General features: G+C 49.7%; 1 protein-coding gene and 1 pseudogene across 9 annotated transcripts in view, besides 2 other annotated features; both read left to right on the top strand.

Annotated features, from left to right (window-relative positions):
• The window catches only part of GOLGA1 (golgin A1), a 69,769-nt gene that overhangs the window by 46,519 nt on the left and 4,422 nt on the right, over positions 1-18,828 (top strand). For all 9 annotated transcript variants that reach the window (XR_929766.2, XR_007061280.1, XR_007061279.1 and 6 more), the window contains exons 13-19: positions 978-1,073; positions 2,047-2,196; positions 2,881-2,976; positions 11,047-11,136; positions 11,989-12,091; positions 12,222-12,382; positions 13,129-13,272. Coding sequence is in view for 6 of the 9 variants with exons in the window: in XM_047423242.1 (XP_047279198.1) it covers positions 978-1,073; positions 2,047-2,196; positions 2,881-2,976; positions 11,047-11,136; positions 11,989-12,091; positions 12,222-12,382; positions 13,129-13,272 (840 nt within the window). In the remaining 3 variants the exon portion in view is untranslated. The remainder of the gene's footprint in view (positions 1-977; positions 1,074-2,046; positions 2,197-2,880; positions 2,977-11,046; positions 11,137-11,988; positions 12,092-12,221; positions 12,383-13,128; positions 13,273-18,828) is intronic.
• Positions 788-1,301: an enhancer, noted in NCBI's record as "H3K27ac-H3K4me1 hESC enhancer chr9:127662503-127663016 (GRCh37/hg19 assembly coordinates)". NCBI's record gives its function as "activates a minimal SCP1, AML or CMV promoter by ChIP-STARR-seq in primed H9 embryonic stem cells {active_cell/tissue: H9 hESC(primed)}" and the evidence as "EXISTENCE:reporter gene assay evidence [ECO:0000049][PMID:30033119]".
• RNU4-82P (RNA, U4 small nuclear 82, pseudogene) lies at positions 13,976-14,115 on the top strand (annotated as a pseudogene).
• Positions 17,261-17,402: a silencer, noted in NCBI's record as "fragment chr9:127646402-127646543 (GRCh37/hg19 assembly coordinates)". NCBI's record gives its function as "represses an EF-1alpha promoter that drives an FKBP-Casp9 reporter gene in an ReSE screen in K562 erythroleukemia cells {active_cell/tissue: K562}" and the evidence as "EXISTENCE:reporter gene assay evidence [ECO:0000049][PMID:32094911]".

Genomic DNA, 18,828 nt, shown 5'->3' with positions numbered 1-18,828 from the left:
AGGTGGAGGTTACAGTGAGCCAAGATTGCACTACTGCACGCCAGCCTGGGCAACAGAGTGAGACTCCATCTCAAAAAAAAAAAAAAAATAGCTGGGCGTGGTGGCGTGCGCTTGTAGTCCTAGCTACCCAGGAGGCTGAGGCAGGAGAATCGCTTGAACCCAGCAGGCGGAGGTTGCAGTGAGCTGAGATCACGCCACTGCACTCCAGCCTGATGACAGAGTGACACTCCATCTCAAAAAAAAAAAAAAAAATAGGCCGGGCATGGTGGCTCACGCCTGTAGCCCCAGCACTTTGGGAGGCTAAGGCAGGTGGATCACGAGGTCAGGAGATCAAGACCATCCTGGCTAGCACAGTGAAACCCTGTCTGTACTAAAAATACAAAAAATTAGCTGGGCATGGTAGCGGGCACCTGTAGTCCCAGCTACTCAGAAGGCTGAGGGAGGAGAATGACGTGAACCCAGGAGGCGGAGCTTGCAGTGAGTGGAGATCATGCCACTGCACTCCAGCCTGGGCGACAGAGCAAGACTCCATCTCAAAAAAAAAAAAAAAAAAATACTGTGTGAAGATGTTAATTGCTGCATTCTTTTAGATGGGAAAAACAGAAAGCCTAAGTAGGCAGCACAGTAGGCAAATGGGTCAGTAAATTACAAAACACTCTAGAGGAAATAATAATCTGAGGTCTAAAGATTACATGGAGACAGAAGGACATTTAAGAGTAGGGAAAAGATACAAAGTTTTACATTGTCCTATTAAAACTTTATATAAAGCTATAAACAAAAGTCATTAAAAGAGAGTTTAAGAAAATACGTTAGAATGCTAGTGTTTTATAATGGTAGACTTATGCAGTATCTTTTTTCTCAGGTTACATTTTTCTATAATGTACCTGTTTTATTTAAATCGCTTTGCATTTTAAAGCCATTTGTTACCACTCTTCAGCTTCTTGTGAACAGAAAGAATGCTTCTGCTTCCCTCTCAGGTGAGAGAACTGGAGCAGACCTTGCAGGCCTCTGAGGAGCAGCTCCAACAGAGCAAGGGCATTGTGGCTGCCCAGGAAACTCAGATACAGGAGCTCGTAAGTGCTTATTGGAGCTGCTGCATTCCAGGCCCTTAATGCTTTCTCTCCAGGCCTTTGCAGATGCTCCAAACTCATTCCGAACTTCGGCAACGGTACCTGGACCTGCCCATAGATACAGTTCTTGTGCTGGATGTGAGCAGGCCAGCAGCAGGGGGTGGAGGGAGTCAGGACCTAATGGTGGGCCTGAGTTACCTGGGAGGTGCACCAGCAGCTCCTTTCCACCTTACATCCCACCTTCTGGTCCAGCCTGGTCCTGGGGCTGTCAGAGGTGGCAGCTCCGCTAGGAGTCAAGCCTCAACTTGCAATCAGGGGCGGGGAGAACAAGTCCAGACTCTGGGGAGGATGGCCTGTGATGACAGGCCAAGCGTGGTGTGGAGTTAGAAGATAGGGAAATCAAACCAGCCAGCGTGTATTTCATATTCGCCATGTCCCAGGCACTGTGCTCAGTGCTATGCACGTGTTTTCGTTTAGTCCTTGCAGGAGACCTGAGAATTATGCACTGTCATCCTCATCCTGTAGACGAGGCAAGCTCAGAAAGATTGGCTCAGTAGCCCACAGGCTCGCAGCCAGTAAATGGCAGAATCCACATCTTTCTCCTGTCAAAGCCCTGTTCTTCATTGCTGTATTATACTGCCTCCCCAGTATAATTTCTCCCCAGGGAAAGCCGCAGCCACTGAGGCAACACTGAGTAGTGTGAAGGAGGCCTGTGTCTAAGGGCTGGCTGGTGCCCAGAGCTGTCCCCACACACCTTGAGGATGGAGTGATGACATCAAGACTCCATCTTCTGGACAGGCCAGGGTCCAGGAGCAACAGGCAGAGCCTGCAGGGGGGACCTCAGCAACGCCAGGGGGGATGGGGTCAGGAGAGAGTTGTTTCTGTTGGATACTCATCTTCTCACCTAGGGCCAGACTAAGATCCCCCACTGGAAACCATTGTCACCCTGACTGACCGTCCTTTGGTCTCCCCGCAGGCTGCCGCCAACCAGGAGAGCAGCCATGTGCAGCAGCAGGCCCTTGCTCTGGAGCAGCAGTTCTTGGAGCGCACCCAGGCGCTAGAAGCCCAGATAGTGGCCCTGGAGAGAACGCGGGCAGCTGACCAGACCACCGCAGAGCAAGGGATGGTGAGTGAAGAGCTAAGAGAGGGTGGGCCCAGGAGCACCAGGGTCCCCCACAGCGAAGTCAGCCTCGTGCTTGACAGTGTGTCACCACCTCTGCACTAGGAAACCACTTTAGAAGGCAGCTTTTTTTTTGTTTGAGACAGGGTCTCACTCTGTCACCCAGGCTGGAGCACAGTGGCATGATTACAACTGACTGCAGCCTCGACCTCTCAGACTCAAGTGATCCTGCCACCTCAGCCTCCCAAGTAGCTGGGACTACAGGCGTGCACCACCACAGCCAGCTAATTTTTAAATTTTTTGGAGAGACAAGGTCTCACTGTGTTGCCCAGGCTGGTCTTGAACGCCTAGGCTCAAGGGATCTGCCCACCTCAGCCTCCCAAAGTGCTGGAATTATAGGCATGAGCCACCGCACCCAGCCGAGAGCAGTTCTTATCTTTCCAGAGACACCTGCTCATGAGACTGGATGTATAAAGGCTGCTTTTTATAAAACAAAACAGATGGGTTTTCTTTTTCCTTGGAGTTTCCACAGAGACTTCCTACTTTCTGACCAGTCCCCTCTGCTTCTTCCCATTGGCTTTTAAAATGTATATTGTTCCTCCCTATGCCTTCTTCCTGGTCCATGCTCCCTGTGCCCAGGGAAATATGGTAGTGAAGACTTCTTTTATATGTGTTCTTCTGAATTGGCAGAGACAACTGGAGCAAGAAAATGCAGCCCTTAAAGAATGCAGGAATGAATATGAACGTTCTTTACAAAATCACCAATTTGAACTAAAGAAGCTGAAGGTATTTATCTAATTGAATCAAAGTTTCATAAAAGTGTTCATGTTTTCTACATGTGTATTTACAGTGCCCCACTTCTCATACTTACAGTACAGGAGGAGGAGAATTAGCATTTGTTCAATAGTTCTGTTAGGCATCGGCCAGAAATTGCCACTTCATTAAGTTCTCTCAGGGATCCAGGACAGTAGGAAGAATTACATTCATTTGGCAGTTAATGTCATTGAGGTTCCGAGGGTAAACCGTTTGTGCAAGTTGCATAGTTGGTTAGAGGTGATGCTGGTCTGACTTCACCCTACCACAGAGGCCAGCCCTTCCTCTGTGGAATCAACAGCTGCTTGAAAGTCATGCTGTCAAAACACTGCTCTTGCTGATATTTCCAGGGAGACCTTAAAGCAAGGCCTTAAAAGATGATAAGGACCTTTGTTTTGCTTGTTTATATCAGGGACCATGTACAGAAATGAAGAAACAATCTGCTGGATTGTTAAACTTTCTCTTCTGCAAACTTGGAGCTTTAATCAGAGGATGCCTCTTTCATTCCCTAAACATAACTGGATAAAAAGGAGGAAAGATTCTGTCACTTTCTTATATGCCCCCAGACTCCCGTGGCCCCTTTCAAAGCACCTTGGATAATGGGACATTGTAGTACTTGCCCAGCTTGGTCATGACTCAAAGATCTTATTGATCCCTTGGCAGCAGTCTTCTCTGAGAGTGTCCATAGATGAATGCCTGCACCTAGTAAGCTTCCAGTAATCAGATCTGATGAGTGACATAGGTACTAATGTAGTAGCATTGCATCATGAGAAGCATGGACTTTGGAGTCAGATTTTTTTTTCATGCATTCCTTCAATAAACATTTGAGTCCTGTAAGTGCCAGGCATCACTGTAAGTGCTAGGATGTATTAAATAGCAATGAGCCAGTGCGGTGGCTCACGCCTCTAATCCTAGCACTTTGAGAGGCCAGGGTGGGTGGATCACCTGAGGTCAGAAGTTCGAGACCAGCCTGGCCAACATGGTAAAACCCCATCTCTACTAAAAATTCAACAATTAGCCTGGTGTGGTGGTGTGCGCCTATAATCCCAACTGGGAGGCTGAGGCAGGAGATTTACTTGAACCCGGGAGGTGGAGGCTGCAGTGAGCCAAGATCATGCCACTGCACTCCAGCCTGGGTGACAGAGTGAGACTCCGTCCCAAAAAGTAAATAAATAAAATAAAATAAATAGCAGTGGAAAAAATAGGTAAAGTTCCTTTCTTGTGGAGTTTGTAACTAGAGATGGTAACCAAGTTACAAATTAACAATAAATGCTATGAAGAAAATAGAGCAGGGCAAGGACAGCCAATGGGGAGGTGGGAGAGGAGAGGTCTCTTTTCCATATGGAGTTAGGGAAGGCTTTGATGCTGGCAGAAGGGCCTACAATGTGAATATTTGAGGAGAAATATTCTAGACTGAAGAAATAACAAATACAAAGGCTCTGAGGCAGGAAAAAACCTAGTCTGTTCAAAGAATAGCACAGAGGCCAGTGTGGCTGCAGCTAGTGGCCAGGGGAGAGCATGGCTGGTGGTGAGGCGGGACACAGGCATTAAAAAGAATCATGGGAAGCCCTGGCAGGTCTTTTTTTTTTTGAGACAGGGTCTTGCTCTGTTGCCCAGGCTGGAGTGCAGTGGTGTGATCACAGCTCACTGCAGCCTCAACTTCCCAGGCTCAAGCAATCCTCCCACCTCAGCCTCATGAATAACTAGGACTACAGGTGTGCAAAATTTATTAATTTTTCTTTTGTAGAGACAGGGTCTTGCTATGTTAACTAGGCTGATTTTAAACTCCTGTGCTCAAGCGATCCACTGGCCTTGGCCTCCCAAAGTGCTGGGATTACAGGAATGAGCCACTGCTCCTAACCAGCTATGGCAGGTCTTAAGCAGATAAGTGATGTGAGAAGTTTTGTTTTAAAAGGATTTCTCTGGCTGCCTGTGAAGAATGTTTGGTAAGGGAGGCATGAGCAGAAGCAAGAAGACTGTTTAGGAGACTTTTTAGGAATCTAGGCCAGAAGTGACTAGCACATTAGTGGTGGACTTGGGAAGAAGTATTCAGATCAGGATTTATTTTAGAGATAGAGCTGTTTTGTTTGCTTTTTGTTTTTTGTATGTGAGACGGAGTCTCACTTTGTCGCCCAGGCTGGTGTGTAGTGGAACGATCTTGGCCTACTGTTACCTCAACCTCCTGGGTTCAAGCAGTTCTCATGCCCCACCTCCCAAGTAGCTGGGACTACAGGCACGTGCCACCATGCCTGGCTAATTTTTGTATTTTTGGTAGAGACAGGGTTTCACCATACTGGCCAGGCTGGTCTCGAACTCCTGACCTCAAGTGATCCACCTGCGTTGGCCTCCCAAAGTGCTGGGATTACAGGCGTGAGCCACCATGCCCTGCCTGAGATGGAGCTTTTAGGACTTAGGAATGAGAAAAAAATAGGAATTGTAGATGACACCTAGGTTTGGTTTGTATAACTCAGAGTTTCTCCACCTCAGCGCTATTGACGTTTGAGGCCGGATGGTTCTCTGTTGTAGAGGTTCTCTGTTGTGGATGGTTCTCTGTTGTGGATGGTTCTCTGTTATAGAGGGTCTCTGTTGTGGAGGGTCTCTGTTGTGGATGGTTCTCTGTTGTGGGTGGGTCTCTGTTGTGGGTGGGTCTCTGTTGTGGAGGGTTCTCTGTTGTGGAGGGTTCTCTGTTGTGGAGGGTTCTCTGTTGTGGAGGGTCTCTGTTGGGGATGGTTCTCTGTTGTGGAGGCTCTCTGTTGTGGAGGTTCTCTGTTGTGGAGGATCTCTGTTGTGGATGGTTCTGTGTTGTGGAGGGTTCTGTGTTGTGGAGGGTTCTCTGTTGTGGAGGGTCTCTGTTGTGGATGGTTCTCTGTCGTGGAGGCTCTCTGTCGTGGAGGCTCCCTGTCGTGGAGGCTCTCTGTCGTGGAGGGTCTCTGTCGTGGGTGGTTCTTTGTTGTGGAGGGTCTCTGTTGTGGATGGTTCTCTGTTGTGGAGGGTCTCTGTTGTGGAGGGTCTCTGTTGTGGAGGGTTCTCTGTTGTGGAGGGTCTCTGTTGTGGAGGGTTCTCTGTTGTGGAGGGTTGTCTGTTGTGGAGGGTTCTCTGTTGTGGAGCGTCTCTGTTGTGGAGAGTCTCTGTTGTGGAGGGTTCTCTGTTGTGGAGAGTCTGTTGTGGAGGGTTCTCTGTTGTGGAGAGTCTCTGTTGTGGATGGTTCTCTGTTGTGGAGGGTTCTCTGTTGTGGAGGGTTCTCTGTTGTGGATGGTTCTCTGTTATGGAGGGTTCTCTGTTGTGGAGGGTTCTCTCTTGTGGATGGTTCTCTGTTGTGGATGGTTCTCTGTTATGGAGGGTCTCTGTTGTGGAGGGTCTCTGTTGTGGAGAGTCTGTTGTGGATGGTTCTCTGTTGTGGAGAGTCTCTGTTGTGGAGGGTCTCTGTTGTGGGTGGTTCTTTGTTGTGGGTGGTTCTCTGTTGTGGATGGTTCTTTGTTGTGGGTGGTTCTCTGTTGTGAATGGTTCTTTGTTGTGGATGGGTCTCTGTTGTGGAGGGTTCTCTGTTGTGGATGGGTCTCTGTTGTGGATGGGTCTCTGTTGTGGAGGGTCTCTGTTGTGGATGGTTCTCTGTTTTGGATGGGTCTCTGTTGTGGAGGTTCTCTGTTGTGGAAGTTCTTTGTTGTATTTGCTGCAAATATGCATGATAAGATGCTTAGGAGCATCTACCCACTAGATGTCAGTAGCAGCCCCACTTAGGACAACCACAGTGTCTCCAGACATTGCCAAATGTCTTGTGGGGGCAAAAGCACTGCTGGCAGAGAACCACTGGGGTAACTGAATGAATAGGGTACGTACCATTCACTGAGATGGGGGTCCTGGGAGGTATGTCAAGAGTGGATTCCATTTTGGGCATGTTGAGCTTCAGAGGCCTACCCAACAGGCATATCTAGTAGTCTGTAGGCTGACAAGTCTGGAAAATTGGAGCAGATTCTGAGTAGACATATAAATTAGGAAGCCTGTGTGCCTATAGTTCCAGCTGCTTGGGAGCCCAGGAGGCGGAGCTTGCAGTGTGCAAGATCGTACCACTGCACTCCAGCCTGGATGACAGAGCAAGAACCTATTTCAAACACACACACACACACACACACACACACACACAAAACTTTAAATTAGGAAACCATCAATCAGCATAGCTCATAGGCAAAATTACAGCCAAATGGCTATCAATGAGTGCAGATAGAAAAGAGGCCAAAATGAAGGCCAGGGCCACACCCACAAGCACAGGCTCAGAACAAAAGGAGGGGCCGACAGAGAAGACGCCAAAGGAGCCGCAGGTAGGGTAGCAGTAAAAGCAGGTGCATGTGGGGCTCTGGAAGTACAGGGCAGAAAGCGCTACAAGAAGGATTGAGTAGTGAACTCTGTGATATGCTGCCAACTGGTCAAGAAAGGAGACAAAGAGCTGACCATTAGATTTGACGAGACTGAGTTTGTTGGCAACGCTGGGAAGAATAGTCACCGTAGAGTCGTAGGGAATATGGTTGACGAGAGCAGGTTAAAATGAGACTAGAGAGATGCTTCCACTTGCAGTAAAGGCAAACTAGGTAATTCAGACCAGCTCACCTGAGGACTCCCAGAAAAACTGGCCAAAATAAGAGAACATCTGCTTGTAGGAGCCTACAGGACTGAGGAATGGCCCATCCTGCCCAGGGACGGGAGTCCAGCATGCAAAGCAGCTTTTGCCGTGGTGGTATCTGCTGATCCTGAAGAGGCTGGAAGTTTATCTAAGTTTTTCATAGTTTCTCAGAGTTAGGGGAATAAAATTTGGAGTTTAAATTTTATTAAAGCTTGGATCCAGCCTGGGAGATCCTGAAAGCTTTGGTTAGGCACACCACAGGACTACACGCTAGGAGTAAGCTTGAACGGGAAGTAACCAGCACCCCATCTGCACCCCGCCCCCAGCTTTGATTGCACTAACTGAAGGACACGGGGTGGCCCAGGAAAAGCCCATTAGCTAATTTTGGATTAAAATGATCCCAGGTTATTAGTGCTCCTGGGTGACTAGAAAAAACAAAATCAAAGATAGGTAAACAAAAATACAAAACAACACAAAAGAAACAGACTCACAAGGGCTCAGATATCATATGCTTACTATGTTTAAGGAGATAAAAGACAAAATTTAAAATTTCAGCAAGATGTGGAATAGTTCTATTATTATAGTTATGATAAAAGACAGCAGTTTTAAAAAAGGAATCAAATAGAACTTTAGACCTGAAAAATAGAATAACTGAAATTAATACAATAAATTACAAAAGGACAGGAGGAAGCTTTCTGGGGGATGGGTATTTTTACTATTTTTATTAGGGTGATGGTTTCATCACAGTTCATCAAGGCATACACCTGTAGTCCCAGCTACTCAGGAGACTGGGGCAGGACGCTCTCTTGAGCCTAGAAGGTCGAGGCTGCAGTGAGCTATCATCACAAACTGGACTGCAGCCTGGGTGATAGAGCAAGAACCCATTTCCAAAAACATAAAAATTTAAATGTAAACATATAGAAAACTCTTATATGTTTACATTTAAGAAATACACTTTCTTTTTTTTTTTTTTTGAGATGGAATTTCTCTCCTGTTGCCCAGGCTGGAGTGCAATGGCGTGATCTCGGCTCACTGCAACCTCCGCCTCCTGGGTTCAAGCGATTCTCCTGCCTTAGCCTCCTGAGTAGCTGGGATCACAGGCATGCACCACCACACTAGGCTAATTTTGTGTTTTCAGTAGAGATGGGGTTTCTCCATGTTGGTCAGGCTGGTCTCGAACTCTCAACCTCAGGTGATCCGTCCACTTTTGCCTCCCAAAGTGCTGGGATTACAGGCGTGAGCCACCATGCCCAGCCTGAAATACACTTTCAAATAACCCATAGGTCAAAGAAAAAAATCACAATGGAAATTTTAAAATATTTTGAAATAAAGTTGGGCACAGTGGCTCACACAGTGAGCTGAGATTGTGCCATTGCACTCCAGCCTGGGTGACAAGAGCAAAACTCTGTCTCAAAAAAATAATTATAATATTTTGAAATAAATGATTTTGTAAATACTGTGGATCAAAATTGGTCAAGTATAACTAAAGCAGTGCATGGAAGGAAATTTCAGTCTCAGTGGCATCTCTTAGGAAGAAAGCCTGAAAATTGAGCCATGTATGCATCTCAAAAAGTCAGAAGAAGGCACAAATCAAACTCAAGGAAGAAATAACAAATATAAGCACAGAAATTAATGAAATAGAAAATAAAATGGGCCCGGCGTGGTGGCTCACCCCTGTAATCCCAGCACTTTGGGAGGCCAAAGCGGATGGATCACATGAGGTCAGGAATTCAAGACCAGCCTGACCAACATGGTGAAAGTCCATCTCTACTAAAAATACAAAAATTAGCTGGGCATAGTGGCACATGCCTGTAATCCCAGCTACCTGGGAGGCTGAGGCAGGAGAATTGTTTGAACCCGGGAGTCAGAGATTGCAGTGAGCTGAGATCGTGCCATTGCACTCCAGCCTGGGCAACAAAAATGAAACTGTCTCAGGAATGAAGTGAAGAAGGGAGGGAGGGAGGCTGGGCGCAGTGGCTCAAACCAGTAATCCCAGCATTTTGGGAGGCCAAGGCAGGTAGATCACCTAAGGTCAGGAGTTTGAGACCAGCCTGGCCAACATGGCGAAACCCGGTCTCTACTAAAAATACAAAAATTAGCTGGGTGTGGTGGCACATGCCTGTAGTCCCAGCTACTCGGGAGGGGGAGGCAGGAGAATCGTCTGAACCCAGGAGGCAGAGGTTGCAGTGAGCTGAGATTGCGCCATTGCACTCCAGCCTGGGAAACAAGAGAGAAGCTCCATCTCAAAAAAGAAAAAAAAAAACAAAAGAATGGGACCCTCTCATAGTAGCGAGGACTGCTGAAGCCTGAGGTGGATTATTTGAAGGTGAATAAAATCGCTAAGCTCTGGGTGAGACAGATCAAGGCCATATTTAGTTTAACAGTCTACTTGTTCCATCAGCTACTAAGAAGGGTGTGCTCAGTCTTCCACTACGATGGTAGATTTGTCTCTTTCTTCCTTTAGTTCTGTCTGTCTTTGCTTCATGTATTTTGAAGTGCTGCTATTAGGTGCACATACATTTAGAATTGTTTTTCTCCATCCACGCTCTTCAAAGCAGCTGTTCCCTAAGCCCATCCTGGAGAATCATCGCAGAGGCAGCCGTGCATGGGTGGCCTGGTGGCTTCTGCAAGCTGCAGGCCCTGCTTTGTGCCACAGTGAACCTGAGCAGGCACTGTCAACCCCACCTCCCACAGTGCTGGATCTTAGGTGGCTCTGAGGCGCTAGGGCAGACTTTGGAGCCACAGAGACTCAGTTCTGTCTTGTCAGCCTAGCCCCTCACTAGCTGATGCTTGAAGGAATCCATTTTCCTGCAGCCTTGACCTCCCGGACACAAGCAATCCTCTCGCCTCGGCCTCCTGAGTAGCTGGCACTACAGGCATGTGACACCATGCTCGGCTAATTTTTCTTATTGTTTATAGAGACAGATCCTCACTGTGTTACCCAGGATGGCCTTGAACTCCTGGGTTCAAGCGATCCTCCCACCTCAGCCTCCTGAAGTGCTGGGATTATTGGTGTGAGCCACCGTCCCTGGTCATTACTTCTTCTTCTTTCCATAACCAATTGTTCCAGTCCCCCACTCCATTCACGTGGCCTGCGAGTCTGACTTCTTGTTCTTGGCTACTGTCCTTAGACCAGCTCTTCAGGATAGGCCCCTAGCCTTGGTGTGGGTCCTGGCGGGGGTGCTCGTGGGGCAATCGATCCTCAGTGGTGTGCCATTTCCAGAGAAGTCGGTGGGTTGCCTGCCAGGATAGCTCTGAGAGGGATACTGAGGGCATGGCAGGGAGGGGCCAGGCTGGGAGCCTGGGAAGTGGGGAGCATGTTGGTCTGGCTCTGCAAAGCCATGCCCTGTCTGCTGGGCTTCTTGCGTGGCATACAGCTAAAAAACTGTGAACTAAGTTTTGGGGCTCAGTGGTTTTCTGCATTGTAGGAAGAATGGAGCCAAAGAGAAATTGTGAGCGTGGCCATGGCTCAAGCCCTGGAGGAGGTGCGGAAGCAAAGGGAAGAGTTCCAGCAACAGGTGGGCCCTGTTTCACGCTGAGGGGCGATGTCCCCCTGCAGTCCCACAGGCAGCAGGCCCATCCTGCCGTGAGACTGTTGGAGAGGGCCTGTCTCTCCAGGGTAGGGTAGTAGACTCAGGACTCAGGGAATGCAGTCAGCTGCGTGGGCCCCTGTGCTCTCTAGGAAGCTGGGAGACAAATGTTATAAAGAAACTCTTACCCCATAGGATGCCCTTTTCTGATTTTTCAACTATAATTACCTGGAAAGTGGTCCATGTCCACGGGCCTAGTGGGCTCTAATTCTGTGAGGTGACCTATCATTGCCCACCTGCCCCAGAGGCCACGTAAGGTTGGGTTGAGTTTTTGCAGGAAGTATGGGAAAGCCTCCCTTGAAGGTAGACTTTGCATCTGACCCCAGAGCTTCTAGTTAAGTGGCTTTAGGCCTTTGGTAAGTCCTTAACAAATCTGAGTCTCCTCTGATGAGGACTCTAGCCTTCTACTTACACCTCTGGGAAACTATTCTGTAATGAGGCAACATATATCAAATGCGTGTCTAGTGCTGGGGATGTTGCAGGCACTCAGGAAATGGAAGTTATGACAGCTTGTTGGGCTGGGCAGAATGGCCACGTCTCTGGTTGACCCACTGTTGGCCAGGGGGCAGTGGGAGGCGACTGCCCCTGTGCAGGGCCCCTACCAAGGAGAATAGATTTGTGCATGTTCATAGGAGCAGAGCTTAGCTGGGGGTTTGCTCTGGGTCGTGGACTTCAGGGAGGGATTCGTGGTGTACCCTGGAGAGCGGGGAAGTGGAGATTTCTGTGGGAAGATGGAGTCACTGCTCACAACCTTCCCTCTTGTTGATTTTTCTCTCCAAGGCAGCTAACCTGACAGCCATAATAGACGAGAAGGAACAGAATCTGCGGGAAAAAACCGAAGTGCTTCTCCAGAAAGAGCAGGAGATTCTCCAGCTGGAGCGAGGTGAGGAGTCGGTCCCTGGCTGAGCCTTCTCTCCTTTTCAGGCCCAGCATCCTGCCTTGTGACGGCCTTGCCACCAAGCAGCATGGAGTCACTGGGCTCACAGTGCCCCCTCCCCTCCTCCCCGACCTAGGTCACAACTCTGCCCTGCTGCAGATACACCAGCTGCAGGCCGAGCTGGAGGCCCTGAGGACCCTCAAGGCGGAGGAGGCTGCAGTGGTCGCGGAGCAGGAGGACCTGCTGAGGCTGCGGGGCCCATTGCAGGCCGAAGCACTCTCAGTCAATGAGTCGCACGTAAGTCCCAGCTGCACCTGCATGGGTGCTACAGCAAGATGCAGGGCAGGTGCCGAGAGTGCCCCTAAGGAGGCAGCAGTGGGGACACATGGTGGACACGACGCTCCCCTGCATGTAGGGTCCTTTCTTTGAAGTAGGGCACTTGGCCAGGCGCAGTGGCTCACGCCTGTAATCCCAGCACTTTGGGAGGCCGAGGCGGGTGGATCACGAGTTCAGGAGATCGAGACCATCCTGGCTAACACGGTGAAACCCAGTCTCTACTAAAAATACAAAAAATTAGCTAGGCGTGGTGGCGAGTGCCTGTAGTCCCAGCTACTCGGGAGGCTGAGGCAGGAGAATGATGTGAACCCGGGAGGCGGAGCTTGGTGGAGCCGAGATTGCGCCACTGCACTCCAGCCTGGGTGACAGAGCAAGACTCCGTCTCAATAAATAAATAAATAGATAAATAAATAAAGTAGGGCACTCATATGGCTAGGAGGCCATGAGTCCTGAAGAGCCCATCACAGATGGCACCCCTGTCGGTAGGCAGGGGAGAGCAAGCCCCTTCATCCCAGCAAAGACTAGTCGTGTGATTAGTTGTGGGCATTGGGCATTGGATCTTCTCCAGGAATTGCTTCCTGGCCAGTTGCCTGTTGGAGCACAACGCCCATACCTAAGGGACGAGTCTAGCTCCCCTTCCCTGTGTACCTGTGGCTCAGCTTCACCTGACCTGTCCTGGCTCTCAATTTGCTGCTGCCACCTTGTAGGTGACCTCGAGGGCCATGCAGGACCCTGTGTTCCAGCTTCCAACTGCAGGAAGAACACCAAATGGTGAGGTTGGGGCCATGGATCTCACACAGCTACAGAAGGAGAAACAGGACTTGGAGCAGCAACTTCTGGAGAAAAATAAGGTGAGGATGCCTTTTGCATGGCTGTTTCTGTCTCCACCAGGTCCTCACCCTCAGGCCTAAAATGACCCAGTCCATCCTTGGAGGTTTTTGTGGTTTCCCCCGCACCTCCTGGCAACCATGACCCCTCTCACCCAAAGGCCTTCCTCCTGATCTTCCGTTCCTCCTGCACTGTCCTCCTCCACACCCTCCCCAGCCCTCTTCTCCCCACCCCCTGGAGAACTGGACAAGTGTCAGGCTTGGGCAGCTGCAAGCCTGCATGTTCCCTGCCAGCTCTGCTGTCCCCAGCCAGGCCATAGCGACAGTCCTCTTTCGTCTATACTTCCTTTCTACAGCTGTGGAAGTAAAGCACTGATAGCTGCCTTTAAGGGTTTGTTTGGGTGGGAGGAGGGGGTTATGAAATGAAGGTATTTGTGAACCGTCCTATAAACTTTATAAACTCTCTGGTATTTGGTAGAGGCTCAATAAATGTCATGGTCCCCACCCTTCACCCTCCAGCCTTTCCACCTATATAAATGCAGGATCTCATTTAATCCTGGTTCTTAAAGTGTCCTGTGAAGCTTAGTGTGCCAGCCGGCTATTGCTCTGGCCTGACATTCTGCCCCCAAATTGTGTGTGTGTTTGTGTGTGTGAGTGCACGTGTGTGTGTGTGTTTAGATCTTTTACAAGGGGGAAAGTGTTCATTATGTCTAATATAAAATACAGAAGCTTTGCAGCAGTGGCAGTATCGTAGCCAATGAGGTCTATCCGAGGCGCGATTATTGCTAATTGAAAAAAAAAATACACACAGGAAAGTGTACAAAACAAATGTGTGTCTCAGTGAATTAACAGAAAGCAGACCCATGTAACCACCCCGATGCGAATCAGGATATTGCCAGCATCCCAGAAGCCCAGCCCCCTGAGCCCCTCCCAGCCCTGTCAGTCACTCCGATCCCAGCCCTTCTGGCAATGACTGCCTTGCTTTTTTCCCTAGTGTCACCTCAGCTCGCATTGCTCAACCCCACAGTTTCGTTTTGCCTGTTTGCAAATTTCCCGTTTGTCCCCTAGGACCTCCGTCCCTTGAGCCTCTGGCCTTACCAGCTGTGCTGCCTTCCTGCCTCCTTGTTCAGCGTCGGGTCTGTGTCTGTCACGGGATCACTGCCTTCCCGACACCTGCGGTCCTCTGGCCTCTCTCCCTTTCCTCAGACTGTCCTAGCCAAGCTCTGGTTAAACTTGGGCTAAACCCAACTCTTCCCTGCTCCCTGCCTGCAGCCATGGAGGCAGACCTGGCTGGAGAGTGCCATCACCTGGGCATTCAGGTCCCCTCGAAGCTCAGGACCATGGTCCTGCGGGCAGCCCAGTGTTCCCCGCAACCCCACCTCATCCGTGGGCCTTCACGCCCCTCTGCCCCTAACCCCAACTTCATGTCTACCTTCTCTCCTCTCTTCACCTCAACCCTGCCTCACCCACCCTGGTGCTCCCACCTCCTGCTTCTCTGAGAAGGGACGTGCCACAGCCTCTCCTCATATCCTGTTCCCCCACCTCCCCAAGCACTACGCCAGCCGCCTCCCCCTTCTTGCCTAGGTCGTTTTTTCTTGGAATCGTCCCATCTACTGAGAGGTGCGCCGTTGTGCAGGCACCTTATGAAAGCCCTCGGCTTGCACCCCTTTGCCCTGCTGCTGCGTCTCTGCTCACCTGCCGTGCTGACATGTTAAAACTTCCTATATCTGCCATCTCCATTCCCACTCCTCTTCTCTCTCAACCTTTCCTCCACCACTCCACAGAAAAACACTCTTGTCAAGCTCATCAGTAACATCTGCACTGCTAAATCCAGAAGGCAGTTCCTAATTTTCCCTCTGATTGGCCTGTTGGCAGCCTTGGACAGGCGTCTCTTCCTCCTCCTGAAGCTCCCATCCATGGCCTGCTCCTTCTCCGTCTCCTCTGACAGGCCAGTCTCCTTCCCACTGCCACCCGCCGTGCACAAGGGCAGCCCTCACAGCTCTTCTCTGCACTGTGCGCCCTCCTCTGCGATCTCAGCCATGCCCTGCGCAGCTGACTCCCCTCCCTACCTCCCGCCCAGACAGCTCCACGGACACTAGCCTCACAAACCTGTCTCCACATGAGCTCTAAGGTGTCTGAAACTCAAAACATCGGAAAACACACTTCGGCTTCACTGTGTTCCCTGGCTGCCATGCCACCTTTCCCATCTCAGTAGACGGCAAAAGCCTTGGAGTTGTCCTATCTGCCTTGGTTCTTTCTCTACCAGCATCCAGGCTGTTAGCAGATTCCTTCAGCACCCCCTTCACACATTTCCCAGAATCCACCACTTCACATCGCTGCCACCTGCTTCAGGTTACCATTGTCTCTTCTCTGGAAGATGGTATCAGACTTCTAACTGGTTTCCCTGGCACTCTTGTCTTAGCCCTCTGATGAAAGCCTGTCTCTGTTGATCTCTTATGAAAGCCTGAGTCCTTGCAGAGGCCCGCAAAGCCCTGTGTGGTGTGGCCCCTCATTACCCCTGCCAGCTGAGCCCCTCCTGTCCTCGTCACTCCCTCTCAGCCACAGGGGCCTCACTCCCATCAAGTACCCTCCAACCTCAGGGCCTTGGCACTTGCTGAGCCTTCCGTTTGGAAGTGCCTTTCCCTGGTCATCCTCACTTTCTTTATGCCACCCTGACCAGCCTCACCACCAGAACCCCACCCTCCCTCACCATGCTGCCTCTTCTCCATGCCTCTTCATACCCTCTGATACACTGCGGATTTGATTATTGATTTCTTTTTTTTTTTTTTTTTGAGACAGAGTCTCCCCCTGTCACCCAGACTGGAGTGCAATGGCGTGATCTTGGCTCACTGCGACCTCTGCCTCCTCGGTGCAAGCGATTCTGTTGCCTCAACCTCCCGAGTAGCTGTGATTACAGGTGCCCACGATCACGCCTGGCTAATTTTTTTTTTTTTGAGATGGAGTCTCTGTCGCCAGGCTGGAGTGCAGTGGCGCGATCTCAGCTCACTGCAACCTCCGCCTCCCGGGTTCAAACAATTCTCCTCCTGCCTCAGCCTCCCAAGTAGCTGGGACTACAGGCGCGCTACCACGCCCAGCTAATTTTTGTATTTTTAGTAGAGATGGGGTTTCACCATGTTGGCCAGGATGGTCTCGATCTCTTGACCTCGTGATCTGCCCGCCTCGGCCTCCCAAAGTGCTGGGATTACAGGCGTGAGCCACTGTGCCTGGCTTTTTTTGTATTTTTAGTAGAGACGGGGTTTTGCCATGTTGGCCAGGCTGGTCTGGAACACCTGACCTTGTGATCCGCCTGCCTTGGCTCCCAAAGTGCTGGGATTACAGGTGTGAGCCACCACACCTGGCCTGTTTATTGATTCTTTTCCCCTCGAGGGTGAACTTTTGACTTTTTTGTTGCCGTTTCTCCAGCCCCTAGAACAGTGCAGGGACTCAGTAACTATTAGATGAATTACTGAGTGAGGAAAATCCAGGAAACCAAAATAACGTAAGATAAAGTAGCCAATGTACTTTTGGGGCAGTGTCCAGCCTCATGGTCAGCCAAGAGAATAGAAATCAAAGCCACAAGGTGCCATTTTACAAAATTGGGTGTGTTGGAGGTCACTTAAGATGCCTCACAGTGGAGAAGTTAGAAACTGTGGTCTTCTGACTCAGTCATTCTATCCCCAAGAGAAACAATGGGGATTCCTCGCTTGGGGAAACAAAGCTTATCCCAGCTTTGTTTAAAGTGGAAGCCCAGCCACGCAGTAAGACAAGGGCATCCCCGGGAGTTCCTGTCACATTAGACATTACAATTAGGAAAGCTGGAGGAGGCAGTGATGACTCTGATACATGAAAAATGTATTTACAATTCCAGCCACGCTGTGCAAGAATGGGGATGTGGACTGGGGGTACATGGAAGAATGCATTTTGATATATTACCATTCAGAGACTTTGAATAAATTTTTATTTAAAACCGGGCGTGGTGGCTCATGCCTGTAATTTCATCACTTTGGGAGGCCAAGGCGGGCAGATCACCTGAGGCCAGGAGTTCGAGACCAGCCTGGCCAACATGGTGAAATCCTGTCTCTACTAAAATGACAAAAATTAGCTGGGCGTGGTGGCACACACCTGTAATCCCAGCTACTCAGGAGACTGAGGTGGGAGAATTGCTTGAACCCAGGAGGCAGAGGTTGCAGAGAGCCGAGATCGTGCCACTGCACTCCAGCCTCAGGGACAGGGTAAGACTCCGTCTCAAAAAAAAAAAAATTTTTTTTCCCTATATTATGAAGTTTTTAGTTGAGAAAATGTCTCAGCCTGTCTAGTGAATAATGGAATGTGTATGGAATGTGTAATAAATGTAAGGCTCATAATACTATTTAAACATCAAAGAAAATTAGCCAGGCGTGGTGGCGCACAGCTGTAGTCCCAGCTACTCGGGAGGTTGAAGTGGGAGAATTGCTTGAGCCCAGGAGTTCAAAGACTGAATCCAGCCTGGGCAACATAGTGAGATGCTGTCTCTTAAAGAAAACAAAAAAGGCCGGGTGCGGTGGCTCATGCCTGTAATCCCAGCACTTTGGGAGGCCAAGGTGGGTGGACCACCTGAGGTCAGGAGTTCGAGACCAGCCTGGCCAACATGGTGAAACCCTGTCTCTACTAAAAATACAAAAATTAGCCGGGCGTGGTGGTGGGAACCAGTAATCCCAGCTACTCAGGAGGCTGAGGCAGGAGAATCACTTGAACCCAGAAGGCAGAGGTTACAGTGAGCTGAGATTATGTCACCTGCAATCCAGCCTAGGCAACAGAGCAAGACTCTGTCTGAAAAAAATAAAATTAGCTGGGTGTGGTGGCACACAACTGTAATCCCAGCTACTTGGGAGGCTGAGACAGGAGAATCGTTTGAACCCAGGAGGCGGAGGTTGCAGTGAGCCGAGATTGCACCATTGCACTCCAACCTGGGCAACAAGAGTGAAACTCCATCTTAAAAAAAAAAGAAGGAGAAGAAGAAGAAAAAGACAAAAATGAGTCGGGCATGGTGGTGTGTGCCTGTAATAGCTCCCCTAGAGCCTGAGGCAGGAGAATCACTTGAACCCAGGAGGCGGAGGTTGCAGTGAGCTGAGATCGTGTCATTGCACTCCAGCCTGGGCAACAGAGTGAGACTCCATCTCAAAAAAAAAAAAATTATTTTCCAAATTATTTATCTAAAACTGGATGTTGATGAGTTGTGCAGAAAAACCATGATCTTTTTAGGGTGTTCAAAATAAGCATTGCAGATTATTCATGTATTTCAAGAGAGCAGTAGTGATGAGAACCGTAAGTCCTCGCCTAAGTATCCTACTTGGGGATCACAGCATAAAAATTGAATTTTGAGGGCAAAATCTATGGTCCAGAGCCTTTTCCAGCTGGGCTGTGTGTGGTGGACCAAGCCCCCGGGAAGGGATAGGCAGCGCTGGGGCACTCATGTCAACACAGAGGGACTGTGGCCCCTGTGGGACGTGGAGACTCAAGCGTGTGAAAGCAGTGGCCCAAGAGGGATGACAGCCCAACAGTCGTAGGCACAAGCATGCGACAGCTGAGCACCAGCCTCTC

The sequence above is a fragment of the Homo sapiens genome, chromosome 9 (genome assembly GCF_000001405.40).
Source record: "Homo sapiens chromosome 9, GRCh38.p14 Primary Assembly".
Lineage (NCBI taxonomy): Eukaryota > Metazoa > Chordata > Mammalia > Primates > Hominidae > Homo > Homo sapiens.
This window is presented reverse-complemented; position numbering and strand designations above follow the sequence as displayed.